General features: G+C 52.1%; 1 protein-coding gene across 5 annotated transcripts in view, besides 2 other annotated features; it reads left to right on the top strand.

Annotated features, from left to right (window-relative positions):
* Positions 1-26,246, top strand: part of PLA2G4E (phospholipase A2 group IVE) — a 69,122-nt gene that overhangs the window by 24,982 nt on the left and 17,894 nt on the right. For 4 of the 5 annotated variants that reach the window (NM_001395548.1, XM_047432158.1, XM_047432159.1 and 1 more), the window contains exons 1-10: positions 4,680-4,787; positions 11,965-12,037; positions 17,857-17,993; positions 19,601-19,732; positions 20,744-20,784; positions 23,026-23,068; positions 24,502-24,565; positions 25,440-25,618; positions 25,722-25,805; positions 26,161-26,198. In NM_001395548.1, the coding sequence (NP_001382477.1) occupies positions 4,692-4,787; positions 11,965-12,037; positions 17,857-17,993; positions 19,601-19,732; positions 20,744-20,784; positions 23,026-23,068; positions 24,502-24,565; positions 25,440-25,618; positions 25,722-25,805; positions 26,161-26,198 (887 nt within the window). In that variant the 5' untranslated portion in view covers positions 4,680-4,691. Of the gene's footprint in view, positions 1-4,679; positions 4,788-11,964; positions 12,038-17,856; positions 17,994-19,600; positions 19,733-20,743; positions 20,785-23,025; positions 23,069-24,501; positions 24,566-25,439; positions 25,619-25,721; positions 25,806-26,160; positions 26,199-26,246 lie in introns of those variants that run through there. The other variant, NM_001206670.1, reaches the window with a different exon arrangement.
* Positions 11,925-12,103: a silencer, noted in NCBI's record as "fragment chr15:42305817-42305995 (GRCh37/hg19 assembly coordinates)". NCBI's record gives its function as "represses an EF-1alpha promoter that drives an FKBP-Casp9 reporter gene in an ReSE screen in both phorbol 12-myristate 13-acetate-treated (for megakaryocytic differentiation) and untreated K562 erythroleukemia cells {active_cell/tissue: K562 | K562(+PMA)}" and the evidence as "EXISTENCE:reporter gene assay evidence [ECO:0000049][PMID:32094911]".
* Positions 17,469-17,699: a silencer, noted in NCBI's record as "fragment chr15:42300221-42300451 (GRCh37/hg19 assembly coordinates)". NCBI's record gives its function as "represses an EF-1alpha promoter that drives an FKBP-Casp9 reporter gene in an ReSE screen in phorbol 12-myristate 13-acetate-treated (for megakaryocytic differentiation) K562 erythroleukemia cells {active_cell/tissue: K562(+PMA)}" and the evidence as "EXISTENCE:reporter gene assay evidence [ECO:0000049][PMID:32094911]".

Raw genomic sequence — 26,246 nt, 5'->3', positions numbered from 1 at the left:
TCAAGGAAATCACTTCTCTTCTAACTACAAGCAGCCAGAAAGAGCAGGCAGTAAAACACAGATAAGATAGCTTGGGTACAGAGGGAGGTAGGGGGAACGTCTCTTGGAACTGCCAAACTTCGCCTGCATACAATGGGTCCCAGTAAAACATTGGGCCTTAATAAGCACATTCCTTTCCCTTCAGGTGCACTAAGATAGGGAAGCTAAAAGCAGACTCCAGTGGGGGGTGGGGGGAGGTATGCCTGCAGCTACAGGAAGATGTATGGGAACAGACACACAACTCTCCCTCCCAGATAAGCACAACAAAGAGACACAGAAGCAGTCCAAGCCTCTGATAAACTCTCCCACTCTGAATCCTTAAAAACTCTTAGTCTGTAAGAGAGTATGCCTCTGACCTAACTTGGCCAGAAGCCCCTCTCAGGTTTGTTTTCCCTTAAGTAAACCTGTCTTACTGGCGAGTCACCTTTCATGTTTCTTTCCTCTTTCTTTCTTTTCTTTTCTTTTCCTTTTTTTTTTTTTCTTTTTTGAGACAGAGTTTCACTCTGTCTCCCAGGCTGGAGTGCAGTGGTGCAATCTTGGCTCACTGCAAGCTCCGCCTCCCGGATTCATGCCATTCTCCTGCCTCAGCCTCCTGAGTAGCTGGGACTACAGGTGCCCGCGACCATGCCCGGCTAATTTTTTGTGTAGTGGAGATGGGGTTTCACTGTGTTAGCCAGGATGGTCTCGATCTCCTGACCTCGTGATCCACCCACCTCAGCCTCCCAAAGTGCTGGGATTACAGGCGTGAGCCACCGCGCCTGGCTCCTCTTTAATTCTTACAGTTTCACGACTGATTTCACATACTTCCTTTATTGTATGCTAAAATTCCGTATATACGTAGAGCTGCTCCTGGGTCCTACCTGGTTTATGGAAGGTATTGGAATCCAGAGTTTGTTGGCAAAGACTGGAAAAGCGTTAGGTGCTTTTCAGCAGAAGAACGAGAGGTTGAAGGGAGTGTTTCTAAAGCTCACAAGCTGTAGGAGGCAGAGAGGAGGCTGGAGACAGGTGCTGCTGGCAGGAGGTGGGAAGGAAGGGACAGGGCCCTGAACCACCTGGAAAGCGGACAGTGAGGAGTCATCCTTGCTGGGCCCACAGGGGAGTGGCATCCACTGGGCTTCTGGGAGGAATGTGCTTTTCAATATTGGGTTACCTGAGGCCAAGAGTCTGCTGGCAGAGGCAGTGCCTGGTCACCCCATCTGAAGTGTCAGGTAACAAGCCTGGCGACAGGCCTGGAGTCGGAGGCCTCAGCGCACACAGCAGCAAGGCTGGGCCCAAGTAGCCCAGGGGATCTGAGGATCCTGGGGCTCCCTGGTCATCAGTGCTGGGTGGAAAGGAACTGTTCCCTCCCCTTGCTGCAGAGACAAGTTCAGAATTTCCACACAGAAGGAACTCTACCAAAAGAGCACTTGACTTGGAGCAGCAGTTGTGTACCAAGATTGCTGCTTTGGCACCCGCACCCTGGCGTGGGGATGTCACTGTTTGCCTGACACTCCTTACTCACTGTCCCAGTCCACTTCCAACTCCCCGAGTCCTCTGCTCTGCTCCCCTCCCATCCCACTTAGAGCCCACACTGGCCAATTTACCATTTAATTTTACCCCCTTTCCTCCCCTTTCTAGATTTTACATTCTTGGTTGTTTTATTCCAGACCCCACCTGAGTGGTCAGCACAGAGATGGGCACCCAGCAGGCAGTCGGTAAATACTTTCCAGTAGATCAGTCCACTTAGTTCAAGGTCACACTGGCTCCCACCTGGGACAGAGGCACCACAGAGGATGTGGGGGAAGAAACTTCCACCAAGCTCCCATCAGCCCCCTATTCAATTTGATTTAATTCAACTAAAATGAGTTGAGACCCTGCTCTGAGGAGTTGATAGACAGTGAGGAAACATACGAGTTGGAGTGGGGGTTTGTGGCTGGGCTTCTTCAGTGAGAAGAGGCCAAATAGGAGGCCTTGAGGAATGCCCTGGTGTTTGGGGCTCAACCTGGCCTATCTGATTGGGAAGGGTGGGGGAGTGGGAGGGATGGGGAGACAGATGGGACCCCATGACTTTCAGGACAGTATAGTGCTGTGGGTTGAGTTGCCACAGAAACTCCTGGACTTAGCTTGTATGGCCTGTTCTGGCCTTATCTCTCCCTTAACTTTCCACCCTACTTCCCCTATCCCAGATGGTTCACATCTCACCTCCTAATTGATCCCTTGTTTCAACATCAATCATCCTTGCCTTCTTAAAGTTCAGCTCTCCTGCTCAAAAACCATCAATAGCCCCCTACTGCTTAGAGACTACGTCCAAATATAAAGTATGGCCTTTTAGGGTCATGATTATTTGGACCCTAATCTAGTATGGAATGAAGGGTGACCTCTGAACACAGGGCAGACTGGGTCCAAATGCAGGGCCAGAACCAAGTTGGTGGTATCTGTGGGACCTCTTCATGTGCCTGGCCCTCCAGAGAGCAGAGGGGCCTTACCTGGGTGTTTTCCAGATTTGTTCTTTCACAAAGCCTCCTTCTTTCTGCCCAATTTCTACCACCCCTGTGTTCCACTCTCTACCCCCAGTATCTCTTCCCACACAACTCACTGCACAGACACCAGACCACCTGCATACATAAGCGTGCCCTGCTTTCTGGCCTCCCTGCCTGTGTTCATGCTGTTTCTTCCTCCTAGGATGCCTCTCTCTTCCTCCTAGTGGTGCCTAGGCTCACTAGCTGTTGAAATCCCATTCCTCGTCTAAAGCCCAATTCAGATGCCACCTCCTCTGTAAGGCCTTTTCAGATCCATTCTTTCCCTCTCCAGCTGGAATCCATTTTCCATCTTCTGTGTTCCCTAGCCAGTTCTTAGTTGTGTGGCAGAGCTCTGTAAACCAGGGGCCCCCAACCCCCTGGCCACAGACCAGTACCAGTCCGTGGCCTGTTTGGAACCAGGCCACACAGCAGGTGGTGAACAGTGGGCGAGTGAGTGAAGCTTCATCTGTATTTAGAGCCACTCCCCATCACTTGTATTACCACCTGAAACCCACCTCCTGTCAGATCAGCAGTGGCATTAGATTCTCATAGGAGCACAAACCCTATTGTTAACTGTATACTCGAGGGATCTAGGTTGCACATTCCTTATGAAAATCTAATGCCTGATGATCTGTCACTCTCTCCCATAACCCCCAGATGGAACCATCTAGTTGCAGGAAAACAAGCTCAGGGTTCCCACTGATTCTACATTATGGTGAATTGTATAATTATTTCATTATATATGACAATATGATAATAATAGAAATAAAGTGCACAATAAATGTAAGGCACTTGTATCATCCCAAAACCATCTCCCGCCCACCCGCGGAAAAATTAACCTCGGTGAAACCAGTCCCTGGCACTAAAAAAGGATGGGGACTACTGCTGTAAACCATGGATCTTCACAAATGTGAAGGAAGGATTGTTATCGATCCTTCTAAGATGCCCCCTCTCACCACAGGGAAACTTGGATCCCTGAGCCTCTGAGGGGTTGGATGCATCTGGCTCTCCAGCCAGACTGTCAGCAACTTCAAGCTTAGGATTTCCTCTCTCAGTAGGATGTATACAGCAGATGCTTACTAGGTACATGAACTAAATTGAATTTGTGGAGTTTACTGAGGGATGTGGTGCTGAGTCCCCATCCTTGGCAGAGGAGGGGAGGGCAGGGCAAGGAAGGAAGCCAGGAGAGCAGCAGGCTAAGGCCCCTCCACTTTCTGGAAGGCCAGGCACGTGAAGAGTTCCCACAGGTACCTCCAACCAGGTTCCATCCCTGCATTCAGGCCCAGTCTGTCCCATGTTCAGATCTCATCCTCAATTTCAAAAAAGCACTTCTATCTATGGTCCAGAAAAGCCGGTTGTGGGGCCCCAGGCAATAGCTCAGGCAGGAAACTCCCAGTGTACAGAGTCAGGCAGCAGAACAGGCAAAGCTGCCCTTGTCAGGCCCCTCAGTGAGCCACCAGGCTAGAGATAGGAATCATCTGGGCGGGGCGGGTGCATCCTCCAAGCTGTCCTGAGACCAGGCAGGGGCTGGACACGCCCTCTCTCCACCTGGCCTCCCAGGAGGGAGGACAGGGGATGGTTGCCCCAGACCCTTTCTCACGAAGTATTGGGCAATTATTTTCTTTCTTCACCCTCTAGCTTTGGGAGCACTGACCCTGGTCTCTTTGGGAGTTGTGGCCAGGGACCCCATGAAGGTCCCTGGCCACAGCTCCTGGGGTACCAAGCCATGAAACTGAAGTGGAGTTGGGAGCGACGGTCGCATCCTCCTAGAGGGGCATCTATGAGCCATGACCTCTATAAGCTGAAGAGATAGAGCTTTCCCAAATTATGGCGGGCTAGTCCTACAGTCATGTGGGTCCAGTGTCCTCTTCTTGCCACCCACTGTGCCCTTGAAGGCCTGGTCATTCTGAGTGGCTGGGGGCTACAGACTGCTGACCCCAAAGACCAGAGCCCTGCGGGTCCCTGTATTTCTATGACCTGAAGACCTGTGATTTCTTTGATATGAAGAGATCTAGGCCCATGCACCCTATCTGTCTACCCACTCAAACCACTCCCAGAGCAATCCCAGCTACTGCCAAGCTGTGGCCAGGAAGGTGGAGCTCTGAGTCAGAGTATAAGTTCCTGATCTTGCCACCCAGCTGGAGAGCTGCCGTGATGCTCCTGAGGCAGATGCACGCCAGGGTCTCCCACTCCCTGCCAGACCCATGCCAAGCAGAAGACAGCAGGCCCTCGGCCACCTGTGCCTTGAAGGTGAGGGAGGGGTGCTCAGTGGCTGGGGCCAGAGGCTGAGGGCCAGGGAGGCATGGCCAGGAAGTGAGGGGCAGGGGCAGGGAGCTGAGAGCAGGAGACGGGCCTCAGGGAGGGCTGGTAGGCATTGGACATCCCAAGGACCTGGGCTCAGGCAGCCTCATCTTAAAACCTGGGGGAGGTGGTTTATCCCAGTTGGGGCCAGGGCTCCTGCTTGGGTGGCCCTGCTGAGAGTACCCTCAAGATTTTCAAGGCATCATGAAGTGGCGTGGGGCCATCCTGGGGCCAGGCTAGCACCCAAGATAGAGAGTATGCCAGGGGGATCCACATTTGGCCTGCCCTAATGGCAAGCAGGATTTAACCCTGCAAACATCCTAAGCTTCTATGCTGTGCAAGAGTATGGTGTAGTGTATGGTGAGAATTGGTGGCATTGTCAATCTGTTGCCATCAGCCACAAAGCTGCCCACCTGGGTTTACAGTCAAGGCTCATGGGTCCATCCAACTCCTCACAGCCTCACAGGGAGACCTCTGGGTTCATGGATCAGGTTGCCAGGGCTCTAGACCAACTCTGCCTCAGTTTCCCCATCTAGGCAATAGGGAGATGACCTCAATGCTTCAATCTGCTGTAGGCTCACCTTGGGAAGAATCATTAGTTGGTTCCTCGAAGGCAGCACTTCTTCCTCATTACCTTTCCCAGGGCCACCTCCCCGGCTCAAGTTAAATCATTGAATGACATGGGTGATGCCCTGAAAGTACTTTGCCCCTTGGTGGGGGAGATGAAGACCCTGTTCAGTCTCCTAGGAGCCCAAGTCAGGGAGCTCCGTGGTGGGTGGTGGCCAATGCCCCTGCTGCCCAGCCAGGTAGACACTGCCTCCTGGGGTGTGCCCTGGTTTCCCCACAGCACTTGGGTGGCTGGAAGGGCGTCTGGCCACCTATTGTTCCTGCCAATCTTTTTGAGCCTCCAAGAGCTTGGGCCAGGAGAGGTCTTCCACAGAGGTGACAGAGTTTACCTCAAAGGGGGCAGTGAAGCAGTTAAGAGCCCGGGACCCCAAATGTGGCTTCAGGAGCCTCTCCATGAGCTGCATCTGCCCCTGTCAGGCCTGGAGGGTCCATGTTGGTGCCGGGATTTCTTGCCCTGACCACTCAACTAGCCTGGTGATAAAAAGGAAAACAGCCATGGTAGCTCCTCCCAGGTGACTCTTAGTCTGGGATGTTGCTCAGAGTGGCTGGGACATGTATTAGGGTCCCATCATGTCCCCTCCCAATGGTCTCCTTAAAGGAGGGCCCACATGTTCTGGAAGACAGCACCTGGCTAGTCCAAGCTCTGACACAGGTGTTGCATGGAACTGAAGGGTACACCCAGCTCTCTAGGGAGGAGGAGGTGGCATCACCTGCCTGGCCTGACCTGAGAAGCCCTGGGGAGGGAGTTCCTGCAGGCTCCCCAGGTGCCATCTTCCCCTCTCTCCAGGCTCCCCAGACTTCATGGGATGGTTTGCTGAGGGTATGTCTGGCCCAGCGATGGGCATCGGATCCACCACCTCTGAAATGTGGTTGTCAGACCCTTCCCCAGACCCCACTCCCACCCAGGAGCCTGACCCTGGGAGCCCTTTGGTAATTAAGTATTCTTTTGACTGATTTGTGGTAACGGCTAGATTCTTGGGGTATAGGGAGAGCTCCAATGAGGAGGCTGAGGCTTTTCCTCCTGTCTCTGCTACTGACTAGTCCAGCACATGGCCTGGAGCAAGCTGCTAGCTGGTGCTGTACATTCATAGTGAGAGCCAGGTGGATGGAGTGCATGCGCCCTGAAGACCTGCACCCAAGTCCTGGCTCTGCCACTCCTGGGCAGTGTAAGCCTGTTTGAGATGTAATCTCTCTAAACGCGGCCTTCCCCTCTGTAAAGCAGGGATAATGATGCCTTCCTTGGCGGTGGTTGGAAGGTTAGATAAGAGCATATGCACAGCAGCTAGAGCACAGCCCAGCTGGGCCTGCCAGAGCAGAGTCATACATTTTGTTCCCCACCCTCACCCCTGCCAAAAGTCATATCTATAAAAGTAGGAGTGGGAAGGGGCAGCATTGGATTGCATCATAGCCAATCCTGAGATTCAAGGGGCTGCCTCTTTTCCACATGAGCTGGCAAGGTCCCCCAGTCCCCAGTAGGTCCCCAGGGGGCAGTGGAGTCCTGCCAAGATCAACCCCAGAATCCAGGCTGGGGAGGGGGCTGGGACGGTGTGTCGGCAGCCTGAGCAGTGGGGCCCTCTCTCTCCCCTGGCTTCCCAGAAAACTGCTGTCCAGCCTGTCCTCCCTGGCCCAGCTGTACTGATTGGCAAAGTGGCTAAATATACCTCTGTACTGTTTGCCAAACAGTTCCTGCCTTGAGCTCCAAGTCTTCAAGTGCTCCCTGGTCCTTACCCCAGGGCCCTCCCAATGCCCTCATGAAGGATGAATGCCTGTCCCTACTCCAGGGCTGCAGCCCAGCTGGCATGGTGCCTGATCATGTCTGTTCTTAAATAGTTTGACTCTTCACCCTGATACCCAATCCCAGCCAGGGCATCCTGTTCTAGGGATGAGCTTATCTGAGTCCTTAAAGCTTTGGCCCTCACCACACCATAAGCAACCCTGTAAACTTGGGTTCCACAGCCTCCCTGGTTTCTGGTTCCCACACGCACATCAGAGACACGGTGCTTTGCTCGATTGCATCTTTCCACTGTAGATTAATTACCTCCAGGCCATGAATTTTTGCTCATCTCTAGCAACACTGATCAAACAGATTATATCAGAAGCAAAATAGGTACATTCATTGCAACCCAAGAAGGCCATTTCTCATAGACCTGGTTCCTGGAATGCATCTGGTCCCCAGAGCTAAGTCCCATATTCCTGCCACCTTCCTCCCAGCATGATCCGGCTGGGATGTCTCTCAAACCCCCTTCCCAGTCCCAATTCTGTGCTGGCAAAATGTGGTTGTCTCCTGAAAACTGGGTCTCTCCTGAAAATTCGAGAGCTGGAGGGTGTGATCTAAGGCTCAAGTGGAGCAATCTGTGGCTACTGGAAAATGGGAACTTCTCCAAAGACCCTTATGGCTCTGATGTGCTCTAGATGTTTAAAAAGAGAGGGATATCCTAGAATGTGTTGGTAGAAACAGCCAGTAAGAGTGCAGGCCATAGAAGAATTGTCAGAGTTTGGTGGTTATTTTTTGGCTTTGGGGGAGCGCTGAGTGAAAAGAAGAATCTGTCAGAAAAACTGTTTTAAAGAGAAGAAAAGCAAGGAAGAGGAGATGAAGGCAAGCAACATTTGTCTTCCTGTTTGCCAAGTAAACTGAGATTCTCAGTGGGAGAAACACAGGCTTGGGAAGTAGCATTGGATGTCTCTGATTCTAGCTGTGAGCCCTGTGTCAAAGGACTTAGCCTCTGACTCTCCATCTATAAAGACGAAGCTAATAATAACTGCTTCGTGGGGCGGTTGTAAGGATTAAGCAAGATAATATACAGAGAACCTGTACATGGCACCTGCGCATGGCTGGCACGCAGCAGATGCTAGCTGTTATTGTTGCTGAGTTAGAGCGGGAAGAAATGGTCACCTGCATTGGAAGGCACTGAGGTTAGATGATGGGAGTGAACTTGTCCTGGAAGGCAGGACACCTGGAGTGAGGTCCCAAGGGAGAGTGTGGCTGCGCCTTCCCTGCCAGAGTAGATATTGAAGGAGGCAGGCTGGGCCACAGGCACCCCCTCCTGGAGGCAGGAGAAGGATTGTGAGGCCGAGAGGACCACCGGACCTGGGTTCAGAGCCCTGAAACACTGTGGAATATCCCTCAGGACGGACTCCTGCCTGGGCTGAAGCCTCCACAGCTTGGACTCTAGTTGCCCTCTGAGAAAGTGGGCCGGTGGGTACAGGTTTTGCCAAAACTGCTTGCCTGGTGAAAGTTGACCCTGCCTCCTCACCAGGCCAGCCCAGGGTGCATGCTGCACTCGGGCAGAGTGAGAAAGGAGGAGTGCACCTTGGAGGTCTGGCCAGAGGCCACAGCTGTGTCTCCAGCATCAGAAGAGAAGCAGTGTGCATGGCTTTTGGCCCAAGTCTCCGGCTCCCAACAGAATGCTGTTAGAGCAAGTTATTGACCATGAGATGTTCAATATTTCAGGGTTGATCTCACAAAATAAATCTCCAGACCTATAATTGGCTGTGAGTTTGACTTTTGTCCTGGTTTTAAGGCAGCTGTTCAGGAGAGGAGAAGAGACCTTAAAAGGGGCTAAATAACGTGACCTTCCCAGAATCAGCATTCTGTTGCTGATCAGAATTAAGCCCCAGGGGCCAGGCACAGTGGCTCAAACCTATAAACCCAGCACTTTGGGAGGCTGAGGTAGGCAGAATCACCTGAGACCAGGAGTTTGAGACCAGCCTGGCCAACACGGTGAAACTGCGTCTCTACTAAAAATACAAAAATTAGCCGGGCGTGGTCGTGAGCACCTGTAGTCCAGCTACTCAGGAGACTGAGGAGGGAGAATTGCTTGAACCTGGGAGGCAGAGGTTGCAGTGAGCCAAGATATCCCGCCACTGCATTCCAGCCTATATGACAGAGTGAGGCTCCGTCTCCAAAGAAAAAAGAATTAAGCCCCAGGAAAGTCTGAAAGGACCAGCATCAAAAGATTCCCTAGCCAAGGCAACAGAGTGAGACCCTGTCTCAAAAAAAAAAAAAAAAAAAAAAGTAAAGATAAAAAGATGGTCTCTGAGTGGTGGGATTATAGAAACTTTTTTTTTCTTCGTATCTTGTTTCTCCTGCCCCCAATCCCAATAGTATTTAAAGAGAGAAGAATTGAATCCTCTTAAAAAGGTATAAAGTGATTCTGGCAACACGGAGTAGAACATTCAGGGTCGCATGTCGAGGGTGCCGGTTCAGACGCTTCTATAAATACAGACATTCGGTTGGTAGGCATTTACCGTGAGCTCAGGCTGGGAATGGACGACAACAAAAACTCTTCTAAGCGTGGGTAAAACTCTCAGCGAAGGGGCTTCAAGTCATGAGTTCCAACAGGAAAGGCATGAACCAAGAACAGAACCAGGACACCTGAAGAGAACCCGTGCGAGGCTGCCCCTTCCCGGGTGTGCCGGCTCAGAGTAGAAACGCGCCTCACCTCTGCAGCCTTGGGCCCCTAGGGACCAGAAGAGGTTTCCAGAGTCCAGGAGCATGACTGATGGCGGGGAAGCTTCTGGAGCCAGCCAGAGGCCCCAAGCCTGGAAAGCAACAGCCTGTAGCCAGCTTGACCTGCTCTCCCCATCAAAGCCACTGGCCGCTGTTGCCTTTAACCTCTGTCTCTGCCTAGTATTCACCCCTGGCCCCCCAGCATCTAGCATAGGGCCTGGCACACAGTAGGTGCTCAAAAATAATACTCTAGAAGATGGTTCATTCATTCAGAGGAACAATCAGAGGGCTGGCACTCTCAGAGCAACAGAGGCAGGGAGCCCTACCAGCGAGCACACAGACCCTGAGCTCTGAAAACAGCCCATGGAAGAGACGCTGGCCAGGAGAGGGGTGAAACGGGAGCGGCTCCCACAGGCTTAACGCCTGGGGCCAAGGGCAACAGGCAGAGGGGCACTGGGAGAGCGCTGCGGTCCCTCGGTAGGCAGGAAGGATGATCCGGCGACACTCTGTTGCTGTAGGGTCCAGAGAAGCTGGTGCGGCTGGAAGAGGGGGTTTCAGGGCCTCTGGGAGGCAGAAAGTAATGAAGTAATGGGTCCAAAAGGGATAAAGTAGAGTAGTGGCTGCTGCGAGACTCAGAGTGCAGGGGCAGCTCGGGAGGGACGTGGGGCCTTAAGGAACCACAGCCACTGCCCCAGACACTGCAGCCCAGGGAGGGCTCTGGGTGTTCCTTGAGGACCTGGGCTTGAGATGATGGCAGAGCCCCCAGGAGGTGATCAGAACTAGAAGAGGGGCAGGACGGAAGGAGGAGCCATCAGCACCGCGTGAGCAGGGCTGGGAGTGTTCCCACACCCCAGTTGTTAGGACAAGGTGCTAGGGAAGGGGGACACCTCAGGGCTCTGGTCCCCTGGGGTTATCATGACCCGCAGAGGCATCTGACAGGAGCCAGTCATCAAACCAAGGACTACTTGAGCTTTTGCCATCAGGAAAGAGAGGTCATCGCAGACCAGCCAAGACTCCACAAGGACCTCTTGCGAGAAACAGTGGAGTGGAGAGAGGCAGACTGTTTCCTGGGAAGGGAAAATAGAGTGACCAGAAGGACCTGGGGGAGATACCCTGGGGAAGAGGCCCAAAGGGCAAGGGAGATGCAAAGGCCTGGGCTGGAGCTAAGTAAGTACCAGTGGGGGTGAGCCCCTGGCACATGGTCTCCCAGTGAGTAGATGTCACCGTGCGTGATCAGTGTCTGTCACCCCCCTTCCCGCAGCCACACTGTGCCTGCCTCCCAAGCAGGCTGCCATCTTGCCTGGGCAAGAGCAAATATCTGCATGTGGGACAGTAGGAGGAGAGTGCCAATAAGCAGCTATTCAGTGAAGAAAGGAGAGGGAGAACACCTCAGGACTCCCTTGCCATGGGCGTTCATTCTGTGCATGGGGCTGGAACATTCATTCACTCACTTAATGAACATGTATTAGCACCTTCTAGATATGAGCATGCTATAGGTACTGGAGGTACAAAGATGAAAAACCAGTCAGGGTCCCAGGCTCTCTGGAGCTTCCAGGACCTTCCAGGCTGAAGAGCAGACAGAAACCCCAGCAAACAATGACAAAACAGCATGGGGAGCCAGGCGTGGTGGCTCATGCCTGTAATCCCAGCACTTTGGGAGGCCGAGGTGGGTGGATCACCTGACATAAGGAGTTCAAGACCAGCCTGGACAACGTGGTGAAACCCTGTCTCAACTAAAACTACAAAAATTTAGCTGGGTATGTGGCAGACACCTGTAACCCCAGCTACATGGGAGGCTGAGGCAGGAGAATCACTAGAACCTGGGAGGCAGAGGTTGCAGTGAGCCGAGATCGCGCCATGGCACTCTAGCCTGGGCAACAAGAGTGAAACTCTGTAAAAAAAAAAAAAAAAAAAAAAAAAAAAACCAGCCTAGGGGTTGTTGTAATGCAACTGGGCCGGCCTGAGGAGGCATAGCGGGAAAGTCTCCCCCGGGGCAATGGCCTTGGAGTAATGCTTGAAGACTGAGTCCTCTGTCCTCTCCTTCCACAGGAGGGGCTGTCTCCATGCCACCTGTTGACAGTGAGGGTCATCCGGATGAAAAATGTCCGGCAGGCTGATATGCGTGAGTATCCACCTCACTTCTCTCCTTCTCTGCTTACCGGATCTGGATGGAAGAGGCCCTGGCTGGAGAAATGGTCAGGTGGATCCGTGTGTGTGTGTGCGCGCGCACGTGTGCACGTGCATGGTGTATACGTGTATGTGTGTGCATGTATGTGCACGAATGTGTGTTCTATACTCAAGTTGTAGTTCAGACTTTGGGGTTTCTGTCACTCTTCCAGGCCCCTTGTTCATGCTGTTCCCTCGGCGCTACCTGCCCCGCAGTCTGTGCCTGCACCCAAGAGCTCTGTTCGCCCTCTGTCTCCTCCCCACTCTCTCTTCCTGGAATCGATTTCCAAGAGCACCCGCTTTGCCCACACGGAGCACTCCTTGCTCCTCCTTTCGGTTAGGGCCTGTTGGGGTGAAGTGGAAGGAGAGGCACTTAGGCATCGTGGAGCCAGCTGCCAGGTGACTCCCAGAGCCCCTTCTCAAGACAAAGATCTGAAACTGGGCTCTGGGGACCATGCCAGAGTCCACAGCACCCAGTTCTACAGTTCAGCCCATGGATGTGGCTTGACTTAGCAGCACTGTTTGTGCAGTGCTGTTTCCTGGCAGCCCTAACCTCCCCCCTCATCCCAGAGCCTGCTGCATTTCCAGGCCACGGGGGCCAATGGAGGCATCTCAGTGGGCAGAATCCTCCCCACCCCTGTCTTTGGGTGGCATTTTAAGAGATCAGGAGAACTGAAAGCCCCTCCCACACTGCCCACCCCTGGCCCCATCCAGAGGGGAAGTTGGCCCCCAAGGGGGAAAAAGCTGTATATCCAGGCCCCACAGGTGGGGAGCATCCCTGCTCACCGGTAACCACACAGGAATGACTCAAGCGCCACAGGGATCCCGAAAGGCTAGGGAGGGCCTGAGAGGGGCAGAGAAGACACAGAGCCCTGAGATTGAGTGTACATTTTAACAAGAGGAGCTATCTATGTCCAAAGCAGTTATAGAATAACAACGTTCCCATCTTGTCACCAGGGAGTTTAGAGGCAGAGGAGAACAATGAGAGCTGGGAGTGGCCAAGAAAGGCTGCACAGAGAGCCTGGGGTCTGAGAGGGGCAGGACCTGAGTATCCAGAGGCCTTGGGAGCCCGATCTTGGGGAGAGGCTGTCCTGAGGGAGGGGAGCCACACCCCCTGAGCACCTGCCTGGCTGACCTGTAGCCAGACATCCACACACTACCCGATGCTCCCAGCAACTTGAGGAGAGGCCCTGGAGGCCCATTTTGCAACAAGAGGTTAATGATTGCCTAAGAGGGAAGTAGGGTCTGGTCCCAGGTGTGGAGAGTGTGGCAAGAGAGGAGACAAGCCAGGTATGGAGAACCAGGAAGTGAGGCAGAGGAGGGATTGGATGCCTTCAAAGTGTTGGGGTACCTGGGGTCTTGAGGAAGAGATTGCATGACTTCCTGAGGCCTTGTATGCAGCTTGTGCTAGAGTGCAGGTGCGGAGAGTCTGGGAACTTGTAGGAAGCTGTCACTCCAATGCAGGGCTGAGTGTGAATGGATAAGTGTGGGAGGGCCCTGAGCCCCAGAGACAGCAAAGGGACCAAGCAGGATTCCAGAGACAGAGCCTCTGGAGGGCAATGTGTCCAGAGCCTGCGCCAGCAGGAGTGGCTCCAGTAGCCTCCAGTTTGGGTCTGTGTCTGCCAAGTGGCCAACCAAAGGGCCAGGGACTTTTCCTCAAGCTTCTTGGGGTCTTTCCCAGCCTATCGGTGAATGATTTGAGGATCCAGGGAGTGTCCTCTGGATCCAGGACGTGGCCACCTCTCTTGCCTTTCTTGTCCATGCCACGGTGGTCACTCAGACACTTTCCCACTCTTGGGCAGAGTTCACCCTCATCCTTGGGACAACCCAGCTCCCACATATCCACAGCAGTGCTTACCTTCCTCCAACCCCTTCTGCTTTTTATTTTTATTTTTATTTTTATTTTATTTTGAGACAGAGTCTCACTCTGTTGCCCAGGCTGGAGTGCAGTGGCTCAATCTCATCTCACTGCAGCCTCGACCTCCTGGGCTCAGGTGATCCTCCCATCTCAGCCTGCCAAGTAGCTGGGACTACAGGCATGGGCCACCACACCTGGCTAACTTTAAAAAAAAAAAATTATTTGTGGAGACAGGGTTTCACCATGTTGCCCAAGCTGGTTTCGAACTTCTGGGCTCAAGTGATCCTCTGTCTCAGTCTCCCAAAATGCTGGGATTACAGGCGTGAACCACTATGCCCAGCCCTCCAACTCCTTTTGAGGTGTGTCTGTCCCAGCCTCTCCAGTCACCTGGCTGCATGCCCCCATGCATGCCTGCACCTGCATGCTCAGACTTCCCACTGTCCAGGGTCCTTTCTTCTGTCTTCTTCCTGCCACACCTGTCACTCAGCAGGTGACGGGGTGTGAGGAAGAGCAGGCAGCTAGAGAAACAGGCTGTAGTCTGGCTCTACAAGCCTCCTCCCTTCCCTACATGCCCCTTGGGCAGACAGGCTGCCTTTGGGCGATACCTGGCCCTCTTTGGAAACCCCCCTGTTGCTTACGTTTTCCTCATTTCCCCGAAGAACAAGGCGGAAGGCACATGTGGCATCTCGGGGTGCCAACCCCAGTCATGTCTGGTCTGGATTCCACAGTTGCTGCAGGCTGGGCTGTGTTGCTACCTTGCCTGGGTTAGATTAAGACTATCCCGATGTCTTTTAGGTCCTGGGTTACCCTTGTCCCAAATTTTTTCCTTCTAGTTTGAATCCAAAATAAACAGCACTTCCATTTAGTCTTGTAACTTGTGCCTGAGTCTCCTAAAGTTTCCAAGAGGCCAAATGGCAGTGAATACTCAAGATTCAGGGCTGACTCCTCGATAACTGAAAGAGCCTTGGGCCAGGACTGAGAGACAATCAGGCCTAGAAACCTCCCAGTTGTCAGGAGTTTTTGTTTCTCTTGAGAAATTAAAACTGAAACCAGCACCCCAAGGGATATCAGACAGGTGTCTCCAGAGGTATTAGAGAGACAAAGTTCTGAACATCTATAGAGATGATTGAGTCATCTCTGCCACCCACATTCCAGGAAAGGAGACATGTCATTCAGATGACCAAGCCCTCTGTCACTCCACTAGGAACAAGGATTAGAACTTATCTGTGCCTAGGAAATCCCCATAGTCCATGAAATTCTCAGAACCAGGTCACCGTTGCCTAACCATTCATTGCTGGGGGTGGACAGGGGAAGCAGCTCTCTGCAAAAGAACTGAAAAACTAATGCTTGGAATGTGGGTGTCTGATCAATCTTGTCTCTGCCAGGAATATTTCTTTATCTTAACTAGACATTTAAGCCTTAGGCCAAAAATACTGAGTTTTTATTTAATGGGCTTTATCGGAGAATTTTAGGCATGGACGAATGACAGGAAAACAATTTTAGAGGGAAGGGGCTCTTACAGGGTCCATCAAATCATGCGCGCCAAGTGCATTACAGAACCAGTAGGTATAGAGCTGGCACCCTGCCTGCAGGCTCCCAGCGTACCGGAGACAGACCTGAAGGGTGTGGTCCAGGCCCGGGGTGGGGGGGCCAGTGTTCTGGAAAAGCCAAGGGAAGGGTTCAAGAGGGCTGAGCAGGTTCCTGGTGAGTCTCCCTATCAGCAGAGCAATGAGACACACTGACCTCTGACCTGTATCTGCAGTGATGTATCTGTACCTGTATCCTGTGGCCACAGTGTGATGGAGACAGATGAGTCCACCTGTTGTTGCAGAGCAGCATAGGGGTGCTCCCCAGGAGAGGAACAGAGGACTCTGGGCTCTGGGGTACCTGGTCCAGACTTGGGTGCTCAGGGAAAGCTTCCAGAGGAGGTTCCTACTGAAGTCCCAAGGGGCTAGCAAGGAGAAGGGTGGGTGAAAGTGGAAGAGTGTTCTGGGCAGAGGGAGCTACATGTGCAAAGGCAGTTTTGAATACAAGTGACTGTGTTTGGCTGGAGTCTAAACGGTGAGTGCGTGTGTGTAAGTTTGAGTGAATGCGTATGTGTGTAAATGTGTGTGAATGTACATGTGTGCACACATACACATGCTCGCACACACAGGGCAGGGGTGGGGTATTAGGGAGGGTGGAGAGATGAGACTGAGGCTGGGGAAGTGAGCAGGGTCAGCCACTTTGAGTGGCTGGGACTCCTTCCTGAGGGCAGAAGGGAGCCCCTGGAGGATCTCGAACTGGGGAATGGCATGGTCATATCTAAAAAGCTCCTTGTGGCTTCTCTTTGGAGAAAAGATTAGAGTGGGGCAAGACAGGAGATGGGAAGCCTATCTGGGAAGTGGCCTCAGAGATTATGGTGGTCTACACCAGGGCAGTGGCAGGGCAGATGAGAAGTTGGGGGTCCTGAGAGAGACAAAGGGTTAAATCAACTGAATGTGAGAGTCAAGGATGACACTGATTTCTGGCCTGGACACCTGAGTGATGATAAGGAAGAGCAGGTTGAGCATAGAAGGGAAGAGTAGGTTGATGAGGTCATCATTTTCTTTTGATTCTGTTGGGTTTCAATCATTCTTTTTGTCTGGATTAAGTGATTATCATGACATCTAAAAGAGAGTGTCATCTCACCTTTCTTCAATAGGAGGAGGGCTGTGAATTCCAATTCACTGGATGATGAGGCCTCAAAGATTAACCAGACTTCAGGGATGAAATCAGAAGCTAGGAACACCTGTGATTTAGATCAGGGCTGTTGATTCTGATAAACCTTTCAGTGTGGTGACAACGCAGGGCGAAGAAAGCCCTGGCTCCACTCTCATCAGTGACTATTAATAATTAAAAACTAGTTTGAATCAGTCCTACCAGTGTAGAACTCCCATCCTCCTGCCAGCTTTACCATCGAGAGGACTCTCTGACACTGGAAACTGCTGGCTTTCACCATTTCCTATGTATCTGGTGTGTACCCTGGGCCTCACCCTCACCAACTGCCAGGAGAGTGACAGGGGCAGTCATGGCCCCTCTGCCTCCCTCCTCCCAGGTAGACTAGAGCAGGGAGCCAGTCTGGGCTACTATTTTCACCCTATCCCTTCTGTTGCTCCAGGTGGAAGACTTAGGAGACCTTCTGTCATTTTGGGAGGGCTTGTTGGGGTCAAAGCCTCTGTCCCTTCTCCAGAGCATATCCAGCAACATCACACTTGGGTTGTTCATTTAGAATGAAAAAGAAGTATGTGGCCACAGAGGGGAGGGTTTCTTGGGCCATAACCTGATGCTGCAGATCAGGATAGGTAAGAAGAGCCTGGCTGGATGCAGTGGAGGCATTAAGCCATATGGAGATGGGGGTTCCTGCTCCTAGATCTTGCTGAATAGCTAGTTTCACTCAAGTCCTTGCCCACTGGGGCCCTTCCTCTTGGCCGACTCACAGCAGAGTGTTCCTTCTCATCCTCACTTCTCCTCAGCCCAGAGGGAGTGCTTGGCCCTACTTTGGTTTTCCTGGTCCCCTGGGCTAAGACAAGAAGTAATCCGGACCCTTGGGGACTGGTCTTCCAGATCTTACCTTGGCAGAGGGAAAACTGTGTGACCATACCTTGTCCCAAACCAGCAGGTGTTTGCTCAGGGACAAGGGTGCTTCTAATAAGAGCCGGAGGCCATCTGTGTCTATGAGAATGGCCAGTGGGATTGGGTCGCCCTCTGCGAGACCCACAGCCTGCAATCTGTGACTTCTTGGGGATCTGAGTCTCTGGAAAGTTAGACCCATGAATGAGGAGAGGAACTGGAGCTGAGATGGGGCCTGGCTCTGGAAGAGGCTTGCCTGAAGTTCCCTTTTGACTCCACATGTTCTCTCTGAACCTGGATTGGTTCCACTTATCTTTCTTGGACAGTGAGCCAGACAGACTGTTTTGTGAGCCTCTGGCTGCCCACCGCCTCTCAGAAGAAGCTGAGGACAAGGACCATCTCCAACTGCCCAAATCCAGAGTGGAATGAAAGCTTCAACTTCCAGATCCAGAGCCGAGTGAAGGTGAGACATGGAGGACTGCACCTGTCTTCCCTGTCTGCATTTTACTCCCCTCTTGCCCACTTGTCCTTCTCTTTGCCTCTGTGTTCTTATGCCTCTTTGTTTTCCTTTCTGCCTACTTCTTGTCCTACAAACCTGTCTTCCCACTCACACCCACTACTTCCTTCTGCCTGTCTCATGTTTGCCCCTCTCTGAGTCTATTTCTCTTTCTAGCTTTTTCTCCTGGTCTCTCTTGTCCTAATTGTTGCTGAAACTAGGTGTCTCTTAATCCAAAACAGATTGTGTTTCCAGAGCCTTCTCCAAGCAGGGGAATACACAGAGTGAAAGAACCATTCTATTCACTAGGTCTGAGGCCAGTCTAATTCCAGCCAGAGGGTTCTCTCCCTCTTAAATTCTTTTCATATTGCTTTATTATTTCCATTTCTTTGGGTGTGTATTTTATTTGTTGAGTTGTTCCATGGGATTGGTCTTCTTCAGATATATGATGACTCTAAGTTGAGTTCACATCTCCCATGGGATAATTATCCTTTGAGCATCCTGAGTTGTGACAGCCTCAGCAGAGATCCCTTACAACAAATTTGGCCTCATCATAGTGGCATCAGCCCCAGTCTGGAGGTGCTTGAGGCTTGACAGCTCCACCTTACTGCCTCCATGTTTTAGGGATACTTATTTATTTTTGTTACGTGACGTATCTTTTCAAGAAGGGCTTTATACTTATTATTTTTAAAATACCTTTTCTATCATACATGTGAGTTTGGTAAGGGAGGAGAATTTTGATGTGGGTTCAGTCTGCCATCTTGAAATCAGAATTTGAGCTTCCTTTGGATTGTGGAGCTGCTGGGTTGGTTCTGGGACATACCTGTGTTTCTAGTAATTACAAGGTCAACAATCACATCCCGTTGGGAACCTCCAGAACCACCTTATGTCCACTAGATGTATTTAAGAGGCAGCCTCAACCCACATCCCCCAGGATCCTTGGAACAAGAGGCCTCAGAGATTAGTCCATGTCACCTGAGAACACTGACCTCAGAGTTCAGCCAGATGACAAGGTAGCTGCTTTGGGACCATCCATGAGAACTTACTAGGGGCTGATGAGTCAAAGGATAGAGTTCATATACCCCACCAATTATCAGAACCCCTACAAGCTTTGCCACATCACTCCCTGGAGTGTTAGATGTTCGATTCCCTAATCTGGATTTTCTAGCACCAAAGGGGCTGTCTTCAGTGCCCAGGGGCCCAGTGCTGACCACATTCTATATCCTGGCAGGGGTCTTGCTTGCTCTTTCCCATCCATCCTTCCCCTCAGGTGAAACTAAATCCTTCCATACTTCACAGGTCTCTACCAAGCTTGTAAAAGAGGCAAAATTCTCTAGCAGGAAAGTGAGAACAGAAGGCCAAGAAGGCTTCAGGGAGTTGGAAAGGAGGGAATAGACACTTGCCTTCCTTAATTCGTTTCCCTACAAATGTCTGTCACATCTGAGCAGGGACTTCTGGGCTGTCTCCCATCCCCCAGACCTACCTCCTTGCTAGGACAGAGGTCAAGCCCCTTGTTCTGGGAAGGGGTCAATGCAACCGTGGTAACCAGACTGGCATCCTTCCTTCTCCCCTAGAACGTGCTAGAGTTGAGTGTCTGTGATGAAGACACAGTGACACCAGATGACCATCTCCTGACAGTTCTCTATGACCTCACCAAGCTCTGTTTCCGAAAGAAAACCCACGTGAAGTTTCCACTCAACCCGCAGGTGGGTGCAGGGTACAGGCCCTCAGACTCCGGCTTCATGATAACCTCATAGCTGTTGCTGATTCCCACAAAGCCATTCCCCAGGGTCTTCTCTGTGTACACAGTCAAGTTGAGAAAAGATGGTGCTGCTGGTTTAAATCCCAGCACTGTCACTCACTATGTGATGTCGTAAAAATAACTCCCTAAGTTTCTGTTTCCTCATCTACAAAATGGTGATCATAATACCTACCACACAAGGTTGTTGTGGGACTTAAATGAGAAACCATAATTCAGGCAACTAGCAGTGTTCACAGAACACAATGGAGAGGTAGTAAGTCTTGGTTCCCTTCCCTCCTTTTCTTCCCTCAGAGTCCCATTGCTGGGATGGCCCCAGGAACAGAGGACAGATGAGGGTAAAGGTGGGCGAATCTGCAGATCAGAGACAGTCAGAGCTGGAGCCCCCAGGATGCTGTCAATTCAATCATTCTGCCAGCATTTGAGTGCCTGTGAGGGGCCGGCACCGTTCTAGGCACTGGGTCCCCTTGGGAACTAGCATCCCTGCCCTCACCTAGCTTACATTCTGGTGGGGAAAGTAAGGCCCAGTGAGGCCCTGGCTTGCCTCCAGTACACAGCAAGAGGTGTGAGGGACTCAGTGAAGGAAGGAATGGGCTTTCTGAAGGCGTATCTCAGCGCTCCCTTGCCACAGGCACTGAGTCCCTTGGGAAGGCAGGAGAGCGGTGGGAAGCCAGGGAAGTGACAGAAAGGAGATGCTCTCGGGCAGAGGAATGTACATGCTGGGGCTGGGGGTCAGCTCCACACCCTGACCTCCCCTGGGCTGTCAGTGATGCTCCTGATGTCAAAGACTTGGGGACAGAGATTGGCAGAGGAGACCACAAGCACACTCCATGGCAGCAGGCAGCTGTGGGGGAAGGACGGAGGCAGGTCCACAGCGGCTCCCAGGGTGGCAAAGGGTTCTGGTCAGCAGAGATGTGCAGACGCCACTCACAGCTGCCTTCCCTCCCTCCCCTACCAGGGCATGGAAGAGCTGGAGGTGGAGTTCCTGCTGGAGGAGAGGTGAGTAGGCCCAGGCCCCGGGGCCCACCAAGGTCCTGGCCATCAAGTAGCTTCTGGGAACGAGCATTTCAGAGGCAGGTCGGCCTTTTTGCTGCCTCACCCTCTTCCAGTCTCACTCCTGGCACTAACCCTGACTCTTCACTGTGCATCAGAATCACCCAGGAGCTTCTCCATAGTGTAGGAGCCTGGGCCCCACTGCACTTACCCAGTTCTCCTGCCCTCAGCATTGCTTTAAAGATCTAGTACTCTGGCCAAATAGCCTGCCTCAGGCCCCCTACATTCCCAAGGGTGGCTTCTGGGAAGAGTTCCTGCCACCATGGCGATGGGGGCCTTGTTGAGGCCCAGCTGAGAAAGAGGTCAGAGCCCAGGGGTCTCTTCCTTGACCAGAACTGTTAGAACAAACACCCCAACCCTGGCCGCAAGCAGCCAACTCTGCAGCCAACTCTGGAACCACGTCAATGGGAGGCTCAGGCCCACCTTGCAGGGTTCTTTCCAATCTTCTTTCTTGCCTGCCTGCCTTCCTTCCTTCTTTCCTCCCTCCCTCCCTCCCTTCCTCCCTTTTTCTCCCTTTCTCCCTCTCTCCCTCTCTCTTTCTTTCCCTTTCTTTCCTTTCTTTCCTTTTCTTTCCTTTCTTTCTTTCTTTCGTCTCACTCTGTCATCCAGGCTAGAGTACAGTGGTGCGATCTCAGCTCACTGCAACCTCCACCTCCTGGATTCAAGCGATTCTCCTCCCTCAGCCTCCCGAGTAACTGTGATTACAGGAACACACCACCATGCTAGGCTAATTCTTGTATTTTTAGTAGAGATGGGGTTTCATCATGTTGGTCTCAAACTCCTGACCTCAGGTGATCCACCTGCCTCGGCCTCCCAAAGTGCTGGGATTACAGGCATGAGCCACCGCGCCCAGCCCAAATCATTTTCAATTAGGAAAACGATCCAGGATCCTGGAGACATGACTGTGCTGAGGACTCAGAGAGCTGGAGGTCTGGAAGGAGGGAACAAAGAGGGAAGGTAGGAAGGAAAGGAAGGAAGGAAAGCAAGGAAAGGAAGGAAAGGAAGAAAGAAAGAAAGAAAGGCAACCCCCGCCTCAGGCCGGGCAGAGTGCCCTGTAACTGGGCAGCTTGTTCCTCACTCCTCCCTCTTCTTCACCTGGCAGGGCTGAGCCCCCTATGCTTGTGATGAGCCCGGGAACAGAAGGAGGATGACAGGTGGGAGACAGGACAAGAGGGCTCGTCAACTGCCACTTGGAGAATCCTCTGCCTAGGGGATCTTCAAACTATGTGAGGGAACTTACTTCCCATCAACAGCTGATTGGCAAATTAAAATCAACGTTATTTACTTAACATTGAAGAAAATCGAAGCTCTCCCCTCCAATTCTTGATTTGACAGAATTTTTAGAGGGCGGGGAAAACTCCTAGGCTGAATTAGAAAGTGGCTTGCAAAATGAAACATGTCATGCTTGGTAATAAGAGTTGATCTGGTGAAACCCCGTCTCTACTAAAATACAAAAAATTAGTTGGGCATGGCAGCATGCACCTGTCATCCCAGCTACTCAGGAGGCTGAGGCAGGAGAATCACTTGAACCCAGGAGGTGGAGGTTGCAGTGAGCCCAGACCGTGCCATTGCACTCCAGCCTGGGCGACAGAGCGAGACTCCTTCTCAACAACAACAATAAAGTTGATCTGGAGACACAGTCACCTTGGGCTTAATTTTGACAAGGGATGCTGTGGACTCTGCCAGGCTAATTGAAACCTTGGAGGCTTATGTTCTCAACTTTATAACACAAGGGCATTTAACATTCACCCTCTCAGCTGGGTCAGACTGTTAAATGCATAAGTTAGATAAAGCACAGAATGGAGAATGGATCATTTTCACTACCAAAACTGTTTATGTCTGCTCTAGCTGGCAGGTTGCAGCCATTTCTTACAACCTATTTATTCTTCTAACCCCATGCATTTGCATCTGGTTAGACATAAAAAACAGTTATCCTTTCAAAAAAATAGAACTCTCCTACTCTTCTAACCTATAAATCTATTTTTTTCCTGGACATTCTGTTTCAAATGTAGGCCAGTTTCCTCCCTGACAACCTATAAGGCTAAGGTTTCCGAAGCTAGTATTTTTTATGAGAACAAAGAAGGCTCTGATATTTTGTTATTGACCCTATTTATTCCCTTTGTCGCCATTAGAAGAAACCAGTCAAGAATGCTAGAATTGACCAGGAGTTCTCCTTTTGTTTTTCAGTCCCTCTCCACCTGAGACCCTCGTCACCAATGGCGTGCTGGTGGTAATTATCTTCCTGGGTTCCTGTAGCTCCAGAGGCCACGGCTGGCTGCTGCTCTCAGGGGAACAGGACCAAGGGAGAAAACAGTGGGCCCAGCTTGGTCTCTGTCCTATCCTGACCTCTGCAGGAGTTAGACTAAACGAGGCCAGCCAAATGGGGCACAGGCAGCACTGGGGCACGAGCTGGGGCTTCTGTACAGAGGGAGGAGGTAGCTGGGACATCACCCTGGCCGAGCACTTCATATCCCAAAAGTGACCCTTCCCCTTAAGAGCCTCCCCAATAAAACAACCCACTAAGTGCAGCCTCCTCTCAGACTCAGTCTTGGTCCTGTACCCCACAACCCCAGTAATTCTACAAGCACAGTTTACCTTTTTTTTTTTTTTTTTTTTTTTGAGACAAGGTCTCACTCTGTCGCCCAGGCTGGAGTGCAGTGCTGCGATCTCGGATCACTGCAACCTCTGCCTCCCGTGCTCAAGCACGCCACCACCCCCAGCTATTATTTTGTATTTTGTAGAGACGGGGTTTCAACATGTTGCCCAGGCTGGTTTCAAACTCCTGAGCTCAAGCGATCTGCCAGCCTCAGCCTCCCAAAGTACTGGGATTACAGGTGTGAGCTACTGTGCCTGGCCTACAAGCACAATTTCTGTATTAAAAATTGTTTCATAGCCAGTCATGGTGGCTCATGCCTATAATCCCAGCACTTTGGGAGGCCAAGGTTGGGGGATCACTTGAGCCCGGGAGTTCAAAACAAGTCTGGGCAACATAGTGAAACTCCATCCCTACAAAAAAATACAAAAATTAGCCAGGCATGGTAGCATGTGTCTGTAGTCCCAGCTACTCAGGAGGCTGAGGTGGGAGGATCGCTTGAGCCCAGGAGGTCAAGGCTGCAGTGAGCTGTGATTATGACACTGCACTCCAGCCTGGGTGACAGAGTGAGACCCTGTGCCAAAAACAAAAATTCATATTTCGGCTGTTGGTACAGCTATTTTAATTAAATGCATCCAGTGCCTCAGGGTTCAAGGAGACCTCTCCCTCAAAAAGAAGAGTCTTTGGGAATGTGTGGCAAAGGAGTATGATCTGCCTCAGCATCTTGACAAGGCTATTTTGTCGGAAGCCCTCACTTTGAAAGCCCAGAGCTGAACATTCCCTCAGGTCAGATTCCCGACCTGCAGCTGAGGACCTGACCCCTAGTAAACTGTGACCGTGGGTCCTAGACCTCCTGGGACAGCTTCGTGGTCAAGTATCCTATCTCTGAGTGAGATGGCATGCCTTGATTGGGTTCAGAAAATGTGGTCAACACATTCTGCATTCCCCAGCATCAGCCCAGTCAGACCAATGCTGAATGTATCCTCTGGTCCCTCATCTCCCTTCAGCCTGGAAGAGCAAGGAGGTGGCTGGTGCTCAGACACTCTGTGACCCTCCTTTGTTTTTTACAGTCTCGACAAGTCTCCTGCCTGGAGGTTCATGCACAATCCAGGAGGCGGAGGAAGAGGGAGAAAAGTGAGCTGTTTTGCCTTTTCTGCCTACTGGGGGACAAGGGGGAGCTGCTTCCAAATCCCATCAGCATCAGACTCCACCTAGTCCAGGGCTTCCCTGGGCTCAGGGGGACCAAAAGCTCGGCTGAAACCCCTCAGAATCATCTCACCCCCAGGGGTCCTGAGCCCCTGGCCTCCCATCCTGCTCTGTAAAGGGCGTGTTCGCCCAAGCACCCACATAACCTTGGAGTATCTCAGGTCTGGGGTCCCAGTGCTGCTCCCTCTATCCACGCTTGTCTGTGCTGTGCCATGCCAGGACCTCAGATTGCCTAGGTCAGTGAGGTGGTCAGCACCCGAAGCCCAGGACCCCTCTAACTATGCCCCTTCCTCTAGGCAGACCACAGCTCACAGAGGGTCCTAGCACTTTATAGCTGGCAGAGACCTAAGAGATCCATGAATACCATACCCCTACCCTACTCCCCACCCCACCCCATGTTGCCCATGCAAGGCTACCAGACATGAGGGAGGGAGGGAGGACAGAAGAGGCGTCTACATCAAAAGCGACAGTGTGCGGAGGGTCTGCCTCCTCTACAGTGGGCAGGTTACTTTGGGGCATCTTCTGGCAAAGCTGAGCCAAGGACTGGTCCTGAGGACCTTCTCAGCATCTCAAAGGGTTTTCTGGGGACTATGTTTGTCTGCATCCTCATAAACCTCATTAAAATGCAGGTTCCTGGGCCCTGCCCTACCCTATAGATTGAGAATCTCTGGGGAATTTGAACTGGTGCCCCAGGTGATTCTAAACTCCTCCTGGATACCTCCAAATAGGTTTTTTGCTGGACCAAGTTGCAGGTGGGTAGTGAGAGGCTCCCAGGGTCTCACCCTCTTGTCCTCTCTCCCAGTGAAGGACCTCCTGGTGATGGTGAACGAATCCTTTGAGAACACCCAGCGTGTCCGGCCCTGCTTGGAACCCTGCTGCCCAACCTCTGCCTGCTTCCAAACCGCTGCCTGCTTCCACTACCCCAAGTACTTCCAGTCCCAGGTGCACGTGGAAGTGCCCAAGAGTCACTGGAGCTGTGGGGTACAAGGCGGCTGACACTGGGGGAGGTGTGGGGGACTGGGACAGGTGGGGGGTGCCAGAGGAGCTCCCCAGCCCCTCTCACAGAACCCACCCATCCCTCCAGCTTTGCTGCCGCTCTCGCAAGAAGGGCCCCATCAGCCAGCCCCTCGACTGCCTTTCCGATGGTCAGGTGATGACCCTGCCTGTGGTGAGTGCCTGAGTCTGGGAAGGGCCCCTGACTTACTTCCCCTGGAGCTCCTGTGGTAGGGAGGTGGGGAGAGCCTGGGGAGGTACAAGAGAGAATGTGACTCGTGAGGGTCTCTCTCAGGCAGGATGGAGGAGTCTTGTGGGGCAGGAGACTGATGAGCTACAGTGTGGTCCAAAGAGTGTATGGAGGCTGAGTTGAAGATGGTGGGGAGATTGTGTCCAGAAGAGAGAGGCAGGGATGGAGCGCCTGTGTGTGCACGTGTGTGCTGAGTGGGGTCTGGGTGGACAGTGTGGATCTGGGATCACTTGGCTCTGAATTGTCACCTCTGACAAGCTTTTCATCTTTCCCTCCCCAGGGTGAGAGTTATGAATTACACATGAAGTCTACACCCTGGTATAGTACCCGCATTCTGTCCGTGCCTCTCACTTATTCATAGCAGTG

Source organism: Homo sapiens, chromosome 15 (genome assembly GCF_000001405.40).
Source record: "Homo sapiens chromosome 15, GRCh38.p14 Primary Assembly".
NCBI lineage: Eukaryota > Metazoa > Chordata > Mammalia > Primates > Hominidae > Homo > Homo sapiens.
Note: the sequence above shows the minus strand (reverse complement) of the source record. Positions and strands in the feature narration are given on the sequence as shown.